This window comes from Homo sapiens, chromosome 11 (assembly GCF_000001405.40).
Source record: "Homo sapiens chromosome 11, GRCh38.p14 Primary Assembly".
Lineage (NCBI taxonomy): Eukaryota > Metazoa > Chordata > Mammalia > Primates > Hominidae > Homo > Homo sapiens.
The window spans coordinates 101,940,709-101,953,843 of NC_000011.10; the positions used below are offsets into that span (position 1 = coordinate 101,940,709).

General features: G+C 35.8%; 1 protein-coding gene across 2 annotated transcripts in view; it reads left to right on the forward strand.

Annotated features, from left to right (window-relative positions):
• Positions 1 to 13,135, forward strand: part of CEP126 (centrosomal protein 126) — an 86,053-nt gene that overhangs the window by 25,699 nt on the left and 47,219 nt on the right. For both annotated transcript variants that reach the window (NM_001363543.2, NM_020802.4), the window contains exons 3-4: positions 3,557 to 3,702; positions 7,323 to 7,434. Coding sequence is in view for 1 of the 2 variants with exons in the window: in NM_020802.4 (NP_065853.3) it covers positions 3,557 to 3,702; positions 7,323 to 7,434 (258 nt within the window). In the remaining variant the exon portion in view is untranslated. The remainder of the gene's footprint in view (positions 1 to 3,556; positions 3,703 to 7,322; positions 7,435 to 13,135) is intronic.

The window sequence follows — 13,135 nt, forward strand, 5'->3', positions numbered from 1 at the left end:
GTCTCTCTCCAGTGCTGTCTGTCCTGTTAGCTAGCTTGGGCTTCTTTTCAGCATGGTGATCTCAAAGTCACTGAAATTCTTAGATGGGGTCTGGCTTTTCCTGGAGTGAGCATTCCAGAAGTCCAAGTTGGAAGCTGCAAAATTCTAGCATGGGAAGTCACACAGTATCACTTCCATAACATTCTGTTGGTAATAAAGTCACAGGGCCAGACTGATTAAAGGGGAGGTGACTACATAATCATGCTTCATTGGACATTATGTTTAGAGACTGACTATGGCTACCATAGGAGTGCTTGACACGTGATTTTATCTACTTGACACATGATTTTAATCTCAAGAGCATATGAATGTAGAATTTGGAGCTTTTTATGTTGACTCTGTCAGCTTCTGCTAAGCAAGCTGTGCCTCCTTCCTCCCAACAGAAAGTAGAATACTCTATTATGACTCTCTATTTAATCGCTTTTGTTTTCTCTGTCTTCAAAGACTACATTAAGTACATTCATATTGCTGGGTAACCATCATCATTATCTGTCTCCAAAACTTCATCTTGCCCAACTGGAATTCTGTACCCATTAAGCACTAACTCCCCATGCTACCCTCCCCACCAGCTGGTAACCCCCATTCTACTTTCTGTCTCACTGAATTTGAATACTGTAGGTACCTCATTTAAAGTGAAATCATACAACATTTGTCCTTTTGTGAGTGGCTTATTTCACTTAGCAGAATGTTTTCAAGGTTCATTTATGTGTAGCACATGCCAGAATTTTCTTCGTTTTTAAGACTGAAAAAAATTCCATTTTATATATATGCCACATTTTGTTTATCCATTCATCCATTTATGAACAGTTGGGTTGCTTCCACCTTTTTGCTATTATGAATAATGTTACTATGAAAATGGGTATAAAAATATCTGAGTCTCTGTTTTCACTTCTTTGGGATATAGTCCTCAAAGTGAAATTCTTTTATCATATGGTAATTCTATGTTTAATTTTTTGAAGAATCAGCATACCAATTTCCACAGCTGCTGCACCATGTTACATTTCCACCAGCAATGCATAAGAGTTCCAGTTTCTCTACATCCTTACTAACAGTTCCTATTTTTTATTTAGTTTTGTTTTTTAAATAATAGTCATCCTAATCAGTGTGGTGTGGCATTTCATTGTGGTTTTAATTTGCATTTTCTTAATGATTAATGATGTTGAGCATCTTTTCATGTGTTTATTTGTATTTGTATATCTTCTTTAGAGAAATTTCTGTTCAAGTCTTTTGCCCATATTTTAAAATCAGGTTTTTTTGATGTGGAGTTGTTGGAGTTCTTGATATCAATCCTTATCAGATATGTGATTGGAAATATTTTCTCTCATTTCCTGTGTGGCCTTTTTACTGTGTTGATGGTGTCCTTGGATCCACAAAAGTTTTTAATTTTGATGAAGTTCAACTTATCTATTTTTGCTTTTGTTTGTGCTTTTAGTGTCATATCAAGAAATTATTGTCAAACTCAATGTCATGAAGCTTTTTCTGTATGTTCTCTTCTGAGTTTTGTTTTAGTCCCTGTATTTGGATATTTGATCCACTTTGGGGTAATTTTTATATGTGCTGTAAGGTAAGAGTCCAACTATATTGTTTTGCAGTATCCAGATATCCAACACCATTTTCTGTAAAGATTGTCCTTTTCTCATTAGATGGTTTTGGCATCCTTGTGGAAAATCATTGGCCATATAGAAGAGGGTTTATTTCTGGGCTCTCTTTTCTATTCCATTAGTCTGTCTTTATGCTAGTACTACACTGCTTTGATTACCATAAATTTGTAGTAAGTTTTGAAATCAGGAAGGGTGAAACATTCCGTTTGGGGTGGTTTTTTTTTTTTTCAGTATTATTTTGGCTATTCAGGGTTCCTTGACATTGTATATAAATGTTAAAATGGATTTTGCTATTTCTGCAAAGAAAAAAAAAGTCATTGGAATTTGAAGGGATTGAATAGAATCTGAAGGTAGCTTTGAGTAGTGTTGTCATCTTAACAATATCTTTTTTTAATTCATGAACATGGTAGGTCTTTACATTTATTTGCATCTTTTTAAAATTCTTTCAGTGATGTTTTACAGTTTTTGGTGTAGAAGTCTTTTGCCTCCTTGGTTAAGTTTATTCCTAGGCATTTTTATGCTATTGTAAACTGAGATTGTTTATTTTCTTTCTGCATTGTTCATTGTTAAGTGTATAGAAATGCAACTGGTTTATATGTGTTGATTTTGTATCCTGCAACTTTGCTGAATTCATTTATTAGTGCTGGTTTTACGTGGAATCTTTAGGGTTTTCTAAATATAAGATTATGTCATCTGGACTAGAGTTAATTTCACTTTTTCCTTTCCAGTCCGGATGCCTTTTTTTTTTCTTGCCTATTTGCTGTGGCTATAACTTCTAATATTATGTTGAATCAAATGGTAAAAGCAACTTCTTATCTTGACCTGGGGAGATTCTTGAAGGAGATTGTTTTGGGAGCTAAAAATCTTCTCCCCCACCTCTGGTGCTACATCACTACATTCTACCTATCTCCTATGTTGGACCACTTGGAGATCTGTAGTCCTCTATCGCCTGAAAGTATATATAGTTCCCTTAATCTGAGCTATTTAGAGTAGAATAATGTTCTAGCCAGGAGAGGTCTTTAGAAAGATGCTTAATAGTAACCTATGGCACTAAAAATTCTAAAAGAGTTCTTACCAACCATCTCCTAACCCCATGCATTCTAAGGAGCTCCCTTTGGAGGTTTCTCTACCAGTGATTTGTAGGCTTGCCTTTTCTTTTTTTTTTTTTCATTTTCCAGCAAATAATTATTGAATCATACACACACACACACACAGTCTTCCAAGGACAAAATCAATTTTTGAGACAGTACAGCTTAAACTAGAGAACATAAATTCAAGTGTCTGGGGGCAATCAGAAATAAATGAAATAAGAAGTTAAGAAAAATAGGGAATGGCAGGGATTAGGGGCAGGTGTTTGTAGCTATGTGTGATTAAGAATCCAGATTTGCCAGATCTTCCAAATTTTGAAGAGAAACTGGAAATCCACATTTTTGTGTAAATTTCCTGAATTTTTAGCACAGTTCCAACTTCAAATGACAGCCAATTTTAAACTTGTGGTCCAAAAGAAAAAGAAAAATGTACAGATTTTATTGAATACCTCATAATTTTCAAAGCTACTTCTTTCACTAATGAATTCATTCTTCACATTACAGAAAATGGCATAGCTTCCTTAGAAAAGGCTTTTTCCACAGCACAGTTTGCGAGGTGGGAATAGGTATGCAAACCTGCCAGAAATTAGAAAGGGCTGCATTAGAGAATCTTCTCTTAGTTGCAAGAGACCTGGATACAGTTCTGAAATTACCATTTACAAAGAAATAAGTCTTTGGCAAACACCTGTTTTAAAAAATTTAAAATTTGTTGTTTTTAAATAAAATTTTGAAATATGAAAACATTGTTATATAATAAATGCGTCATTTTGAAACTATTTTCTAAACTTACCACCTATTTCTGTTGCCTACTTTGTGTTTTAAATATAGAGCTTTTGAGGAGAAACGAAAAGAACAGGAAGAAAAAGAACACCAAATTAGAGAACAAATACTTCAACAAAGAAAACAGAAGTTTGAAGAAGTTACTGAAAAATTCCAGCGTGCCCATGTTCCTCTTTCACAGCGGAGGAAAGCAGGTGCCTTAATTTCTAGAACAGTATGAGAACATAAAGTTTTAATCTCATTTGACTTGAGTAGACAATAAAATCGTAAATGAAGAAATGAAGTGGAAACAAACTAAAAAGACCAATATGACTTTTGAGTAAAAGCACTTTAACCAAAGAAAAATAGTCAATTGATTTAGGTTTAATTGAGAGAATATTGTTGGCACTATTACTAAATTCTGAAACTCACAGTTTGATTTGACTTCCAACTGGTTACAATGGTTTGTCCTTTTAAAATTCATTTGGTAAGTAGCTTAGTACAAAGAAAATTTAACATTTGGGTTCAGAAAATTAGTGTCACATTTATTCTAGTATTTTTTAATGGTTTGGTTCAAATTCATATTTGAGAGACTGGCAGAACACAAAGAAAGTCTACAGAGTAATATAATCCAACAAGATAAAAACTTGGAACCAGTTAAGAATTTAAATATGATTATGGTTGGTTCTTTTGTATTATATCTACATTTTTATACCTTAAATAGTAAGACAATTAACAATATGTCAAAGCTTCATAAAGAATAGTGATAAGCAGAAGCTTTATGTATTCAGCAAACATATGGTGTACTGTGTTGTACTTAGCCTTAGGCTAAGCTGAGATATAGAAAAATCTAATTGCATTCTACCATTAAAGATCTCACAACCTGTTTTGGAGATGAGAGTGGTATAAGCAATGTCAATAACATAATGATAATTGCTATGGTAGCAGAGTGTGTAAAGTGCCATGAGAGCACAGAGGAAAGAACACTAAACCTATGTCAGGACATCAAGGACATCATTCTTGGAAAAATGACTTAAGTCGGATCTTAACAAATGAGCATATTGCAAAGCAAACAGAAAATAAAAGGACATCCCAGGCGAAAGAACAGCTTGTACAAATAAATTATGTATTTCAGTGTATCTGAAGCATAGGATGGGGAAAAGAAGAAAAATGGATATGAAGCTAGAAAAAAAAAGAGGTAGCCAGTTCTCAAAGAGCTTTATATGCCATGCCAGGAATTTCATCTTTATGCAAAATACAGTCCACTTACAGTTTTTTTAACAAGAAAGCAAGCCATTGCTGTGTTAGTAATAAATATTACTGTTAATAAGGGCAGCTAGTAAAACTGCGCTAAATAACAATAGCTTAAACATGATAACAGTTTATTTTTCTCCCATATAATACGACGTCCTGTGGTAGGCAGTCAAGAGCTGGTTTGATGATTATACTGAGCTGAGAGACAGAAGGATCATCTGTCACTCGGCTCAAAAGTCTTTAGTAACACAGTTTATACCCTCACTGTCATGGTCATATGGTAGCTGCTAGAGCTCAACCATCATACCAGTGTTGTAGGCAGGAAGAAAGAACAGGAAAAAAGGGTGTACCTCTGAGATCTCTGCTTGGCAACTTTATTTGCAAGGGAGTCTGAAAAATAGCTTTTTTAATGTGGGTATATTGCTACCCCTAACTATATAGGGTCTGTTACCAAGGAAAAAAGGGAAAATGCATATTAGGTGGGGAACTAGGGGTCTCTGCTATAATTAGATTTGTTAGAAAGATAATTATAGTTACAAGATGGAATATAGATTGAAGTAGAGACTTACTAAAGTAAGTAGACTAGTAGGATACTATTTAAATAATTATGGTAAGAGATGTTAAGCTCCTAAATTAAAGCAGTGCACTGAGTGTAAGAGATAAGATTCATGTTCATCCATATCCATATTCATCCTTTTTTTTTTCGAGATGGAGTCTTGCTCTTCTTCGCTACTGTGCCCAGCCAAAGATACTATATTCAAGAGATATAATCACGGCCAGCCGAGGTGGCTTATGCCTGTAATCCCAGCACTTTGGGAGGCCAAGGCAGGTGGATGGTTTAAGAGCTGACGAGTTCAAGACCATCCTGGGCAACATGATGAAACTCAATCTCTACAAACAACACAAAAATTAGCCAGGCATGGTAGTTCATGCCTGTAGTCCCAGCTACTCAGGAGGCTGAAGTGGGAGGGTTGCTTGAGCCAAGGAAGCGGAGGTTGCAGTGAGCCAAGATCACACCACTGCACTCCAGCCTGGGCAACAGAACCAGACCTTATCTCAAAAAAATAAATAAATAAATAGATATAATCAGTAGGATTCAGTTACTAATTTGATTGAAAGTGGTGAAAGAGGCCGGGCGTGGTGGCTCATACCTGTAATCCCAGCACTTTGGGAGGCTGAGGCGGGTGGACCACTGAGGTTGGGAGTTCGAGACCAGCCTGGCCAACATGGTGAAACCCCATCTCTACTAAAAATACAAAAGTTAGCCAGGCATGGTGGCGGTTGCCTGTAATCCCAACTACTAGGAAGGCTGAGGCAGGAGAATTGCTTAAAAACCCAAGAGGCAAAGGTCGTAGTAAGCAGAGGTCGCACCACTGCACTCCAGCCTGAGCGACAGAGCAAGACTCTCAAAAAAAAATGGTGGAAGAGAGGCTAGAAGGAGAACAGTGCCTCTATAAATTAGCAGAAAACCTTATTTTAAACATTCAATAAATAATTTTTAAATTATTTATTACTTTGATAGATGCATCCTTTATGATGTGAATATCAGCAGACTATCCTGTAGCTTTGCATTCCTCATGTAATCACCAGTTGATTAGGGAAATGGATTGTCTTTAGAGTTCAAGTTTGAACTAACCCTTACATAATAACATCCTATTTTTGCTTAAACATTTTAAATAAATTACAAACATTGTAATAATGGAAAAGTTTGATGACATGTTGGTGTTTTAAAGGAGAAAAGAGGAAGATAGTTTGGAAGTACCCACGAAGAGCTAAAGCCAGAAATTCACTCACCCTATTTCTAGGCCTTGAGTTATTTATAGTATGTGATATACTATAGATACCATGTATAGATAGTATAGTATATTTATAGTATATGATGGGAGGAAAATGATGTCTCCATTTGAGAGGGTTGTAGGAGAAGACAATATTTAGAGAGAGAAGTAGGGTAAAATAGAGTATGTTGAATACCAAAGTGCACAGTGGAAGGCGTTGAGAAAGTGGATATATATAGGACATAGGGTTATATTAAAGGTTGTGCAGGGCAGTATATGGATGAGTGTCCATAATAATGTATGACCTTGAGCAAGTTACTTGCCTTCTCTATGCCTTAGTTTCCTCAGCTGTAAAATATACCTCATAGGCCATAGTGAGGGTTAGTTTATGTGCATTAAATGCTTAAAAATAAGGTCTATAACTAAGTGCTCAGGAAATGTTAGTTGGTGTTTTTGTATGTTCCCCTTTTCTTCATAGGAACATTTATAAATTGTGTCATAAGTTTATGGCACTATGAGATCAAATATAGGGGAGTTTGCATGCCAGGAATGAAGAGCCCAGACATTTCTCAAAGTCTCTTTTTTCCTGATAAATATTCTTAAAATTGGTGATGAAAACTTTGAGGTAACACATTCTCTTTTGGGAATTGAATGTCAAAATTTAAAGTATTTACACTATTCTGAAAATATTTTATTTTTACAAAAGTTTTAAAGTAATATTTTATCATTAACCAATTAAATTATATGTAAAGTGACCACTGAAGATAAAGTGATTCTGTACTGTTCGGTCTTTATTATCTCTTTAGTTTCCCGAAAACCAGTTCCTCCATTAGAAGAGGCCCTCAAACAAATTCAGGAATCCAACTTAAAATCAGAAGTAAACCTTCCCTTTTCCCGTAGACCAACAATAAACTGGAGGTAAGTAATTTATGATCATTGTATACAATTATTACAATAATTGTATAACCATCTAGTTACTGTGCTTGTCAGCTTTTTCATCAGCTACTCCTCATCTGTGTTTTAGAGTTTATTCTTTTATTTTTACAGATTAAATTGAGGTAGAATAGAATGAAAATTGTTCCAAGAATAGGTCAGAATTCCAATTTGTTGTCTTAAAGTCCTTGGTATTACAAAATACTATGTATGTTAAATAATTTTTGTGGAACATACCATCAAAACACTTTTTAAATATTGATATTGATATTTTGATTAAAATGTTTATATCTTTACTGAGAAGAGAAAATTATGTTGAATTGTAATAAATTTAGGTAAAAAGAGTAATTTTATGGTAGAAATGGGTTTTTCCTCACTGAAAATCTCTCCTGGATGTCTTGAAAAGGCTACAGAGTCTCCTGGTTCTTCTGCAGGATGGCATAAGTGAATCATCTAGAAGTAATAGGATGGACCAATCAACCACTGGGTACCCTCGGACATCCTGTATCTTCCATTTATTTATTCCAAACATTTGTTAATGCTACTACATGTATAGAAGTAGATCAGGCATTATAAGGGGATATGGAGAAGTATATACTATTGTAAAATATAATCCCTAGTGTATAATCTGAAAGATAAGTGAAATAGTGCTTCAGAAATATAGAATAGTGCCAAATGAGTAATTGCAATAATATATAAAATTCATTTATATAAATACGTCCACAATTCAGACAATAAATTATGTTAATATTTTACCTGTGCATAATGTTATTCCATTTTTAGAATATCTGTGGGCAACAGTTCCCTTGATTAGGACTAAGAACAAGTAAATGTATCCTCTTGATCCTAATTAGAGTTCAGGAAAGACCTCATGGGACAGAGAATTCTTCAGCAAAGCTTTGAAGAAAATAGTAGTTATTTGGAACAAGTGAGTGGATGGCATTTTAGACAGAGAGATGAGCATGTGCAAAAGCCAAGGGCAATCAAAAGCATGATATACTCTAGGAGTAAGAGTATGTGTACATCATAGAATGCAAAATACAGATGGCTTTGCCAGATACAAGATTGGAGAGATAAGTGCATCTGTATGCCAAGAAATATAAACTTTATCTTGAGAGTTTAAGAGGAGTCAATGAATAATTTTAGGCAAATTAGTGATAAGATGAAATTGTCTTTTTAAACATATTATTCCAATCCATTGTGAACAATTGTGGATAATGGATTGAAACCTGGGGATATTTCAATAAATGTAGAAATTATATAGCCTAGAGCTCAAGAGAAAGACTTAGGCTAAAGGCATTTGAAGCCAAGGTAATGGATATGGTCAACTGTGGAGAGTATGTGTGTGATGAGCAGTGAAGAACAGCAACATTTAAGGAAGTGGAAAAAGAAGAGAAGCTTGCAAACACAATGGCTAGAATGGCTTATATAGGACTAGGAGAGGTCAGTATCATGAAAACTAGGGAAGGATAAATTTTCATGGGAAAAAAAATAGTTTACAGAGATCAAATGACTTCTAAAGAATCAGACACATAATGTCTGTCAGTCAGGATCCTGGCAGGGAACAGGAGGCACACTTAAAAGAGGTGACTGAGAGGTTAAGTAAGGGACTATAAAACCAACAAAGGATGGTAAAGCACCCCCAGAACTGACACAAAGTCAGTATTACCAACACAGACCTGAACTGAAAAGAGCTATACTGTAGAAGAAGGACGCTGGACAGGTCCTGTGGTCCTAGGGAGAGGAATGTAAGCCACTGCTAAAGCAAGCCCAGCAGGGAGGAAGTCAGAGGAATAATTATCAAAAACCTCTTTCTTCTGTCACCCTCCTTTCTCCTTCTGGTACCTTCCACTGGCCAAACTCAGCCATAAATCAAAGAGCAAGGGATCATTCAGTCTCTTGGAGCAGAGTCAAGTAGAGAAATGTGGTAATGAATCTGGAAGGGCAAAGAGAGAATATCCAACATAGAAACAATGGGTCCACTGTATTTCACAACAAAAAAAGTTACTGGCAACTTTTGTCAGACCAATTTTAGTGGAGTGGTGGGGGCAGAAAATAAATTGCAATGAGTTGAAGAGAAATGGAGAGCAAAAAGGATAACAAGTTTAGTTTGACTGTGAAAGTTAGAGAGTGATAGGACAATAGCCAGAAGAGATGTATGGCCAATATATGGCTTTTCCCTTAAAAAAGATCTTATGATGTTTAAATATGAATATTAAAGTGATGAGCAACAGAATCGCAGTCTAGAAAGGTAGAGTAGGATACAAAAGTACTTATTCTGTGTTAGACACTGATTAGCATGGGTTACACATGTGAATGAGATATGGTCCTCTGCCTAGCAAGGGTTTGCAATTACATTATAATACTGTTTGTTGGTCTTTACAACATAATACACATGTAATACTGTATAATGGGGGTTGTTACAGAAATACTAGCAAAGTAATAAAGAAGTACAGCATTGAAGGTAGAAGGTAGTCTTAAAGAATGAGTTAAGATTTATCAGAGAAGCATGTGTTGGGTTTTAGGCATGTGCAGTGCTACAGTGTTGTGAAAGGCATAGACCCCTGAGGAAATAGAACTTATTCAGAGTGTCGGGACTACAGGATGTGTTGCTGATGGGACAGGGGATGATCTAGAAATGTAGATTGTGATCAGATGTAAAATGTTTGTATGTCTAGCAAGTGAGTGTGAACTTTATCCTGTAACCAGTGCGGAGCCAATGGAGGTTTTTCAGCAGGGAGTGATAGCATCCTCTTTCTTATTTTAGAAAGATAAATGGTGCAAATGTTGGAGAATAGAGAGGATAGAGAGAAATTGGAGGCAAGGAGACCAGAGAGGAAATTATTGGAATAACCCAAGGGATAGATCCTTACTGCCTAAACCAGAACAGTACTATTTTGTATAGTGAAGAAAGGATGGCTCTGATAATAAAAGGTTTTTAGTAGTGAGAGGATGAGAGAGAAGAAAGAATGAAGATAATGTGCTTTCACAGTGCAGAGAAGTAGCATAAAGAAATAAGAGTTTAAGGATGTTGATCAATTACAAGTATAAGAATTGAAGTATAGGCTGGGCATAGTGGCCCACACCTGTAATTTCAGTGCTTTGGGAGGCTGAGGAAGGAGAATCAATTAAGGCCAGGAGTTCAAGACCAACCTGGACAATAGAGCAAGACCCCATCTCTACACACACACAAAAAATGTAAAAATTAGCTGGGCATGCTGGCACACACCTGTAGCTCTAGCTACTCGAGGAGATGAGGTAGAAGGATCACTTGAGCCCAGGAGTTGGAGCCACAGTGAGCTATGATCACACCACTGCACTCCAGCCTAGGTAACAAGAGTGAAATCCTGTCTCAAAAGAAAAAGGAGAAGGAGAAGGAAAAAGAAAAGAACAAGAAGATGAGGAAGAGGAGGAGAAAGAAGAGCAACAAGAATTGGAGAATAGACAGAATAGAAGCAGAAAGAAAAGATATTTTATTAAAAGAATAGATGAGTTTGGTATAGGACAAAGGAAATGAAAAAAAGCAAAAAAATAAAAAGCGACTGATATTTTGAGTCTTGCTGATTAAGGGAATGTGATTAACTTTTTAAAATTCCCTTTGAGCCTTCTGAATTGAGGGGATAAATATCCATGTAGAAATGTGTAAAAATAATTTAACCAAAGATGAGGTGAGAGGCCAAGGCTCTAGAAATAGATTTGAAAGTTATGATTGTATATATTGTTGCTTAATTTTCATGTGTACTTTTGTCCCCACAACCAGATTGTAATATTCTAAAGGACAGTGTCTCAGTCTTACATATGCAGGTATTCCCTATAGTGCTTAATTCAGTACTCATGTTGGAGGTATTCAATAAATACCTTGAATGGAAAAATATCACTGACATGAGTGAACACTTCTCAAAGTGTATAAAAGTGGCCCGAAGTTAGATAGATGAGGAGGGTATTTATCTGAGACAAACACTGGGAGGAAATTTCAACCAGAAGGAATATTAGCATGTGAGAAGGCATAGAATCATAAAAGGCATGTTGTGTTAAGGGAGCTACAAGTAGCACAATTTGGCTAATGTGTACAGTGAGAAGAGAGTTGTGGGCAGATAGGTTGGAAAAGAAGCCGTGAGTTAGATCATGAAGAGCCTCGGTAAGGAGTTTGTTTTAAAAACAATTACTGAAAGATTCGAAGCAAACACAATATTTATAGGTTGGAAATATTGCCAGAATGGAAAAGAAAAGGAGAACACTGAAAGCAGTAAAATCAGGTAAAATGGCACTTTAGTTGATGAAAACAATGACTTCTTGAAAGCTATTTAGAAGGTACAATCAATATGCTTTGGTAACTGTTTAAGACCTGGAGTGATTGGGAAGAATCAAAGATGACTCCAGAGATTAGATTTGGTCAGTGAAAAAGTGGTAAAACCATTTATCAAAATGAGGACTACGAGGTTAAGAGGGTAGATCTCATGTTAAGTGTTCTTACCTTAGTAAAAAACAAAAATGATGAATATGAGGGAAGAATAGATAGGTTTAGGGGAGGAAGTAATTGGAAGGAGAATGACATGTTTGAGTTTGAGACACTTATGAGATATTCAAGAGCCAATTTCTTATAGTAAGAAATCTGGGCCATGAATGTAGACATGACAGTCATCAATGAATGAATAAAGTTAAAGTCATGGCAGTATCTGCCAGTGGTATTCTTAGATTCAGCTAAACAATCAAACTCCCTTAACTGTACCAGGCTGTTTGGCTTCAATTAGAGACCAGAAAACAGTGCATGCCAACTAGGTAACATTCTTCAATAGGAGGAATCCTTATAGAAGGCCACAAGACAGTTGAGGGGCTAGTTTTTGCTATGTTTCTACCCTCTACAAGTGACAGCTCAGCTTTAAGGCTTATAATGCTTACATTATCACAATGGGTAGGCATCTACCTATTCTGGATAAGACGCCCCATGTTCTAAACAGGAACAAATGTTTTTGTAATGGCTCCATATGAATTTCTCCCATGGAAGAGATATGTCCAGTAATAAGAATTATCATACTCGAGGAAACTCAAAACTATAGCTTTCTAGCAGATACCTGTGGTTTCTTTGCAGTCCTCTTAGTCCAGATGTGGTTTACCAATGAAGGGCCATTTTTACCATAATCAATGTGCCTTGTAACACAGCTTAAATCCTACTAATTATCCAGAGAAATAGACTTAGAAAGTTAACTCAAAGTTGAATTGGTCCATAGAGAAGGAGAAGATTTTGTTAACCCTTTACTCACACACTAATATAGATAAGGTCACATAGACAGTATAAGTAAGATTACAAAGAAAGTATGGATATAGATAAGAAAAAAAGAAAGCCACATAACTCAAAAATTTTAGCATATAAAGGACAGGCAAAGAAAGAGGAGCTCAAGAAAGAGCCTGAGAAGGAACAACCAGAGAAGTAAGAAAATAAATGGGAAATGTGATGATGCGGAAACCAAGGGAATTAAAATCAAGAAAGATAGTGGTCAAGAAATACCTATTTTTGCAATTACTAGGTAATTAGTTAACCACAAGCAAAGTAGTACATTGAAGTGATAGAGGTGGAAGCCAGATAACAGTTGGGTTAAGAGACAAGTGGAAGTTGTGGTAGTAATATAATTTACTACCATATTATATGTGTCAATATAATTTTAGAGTACTCTATAGGAAAGCTTGT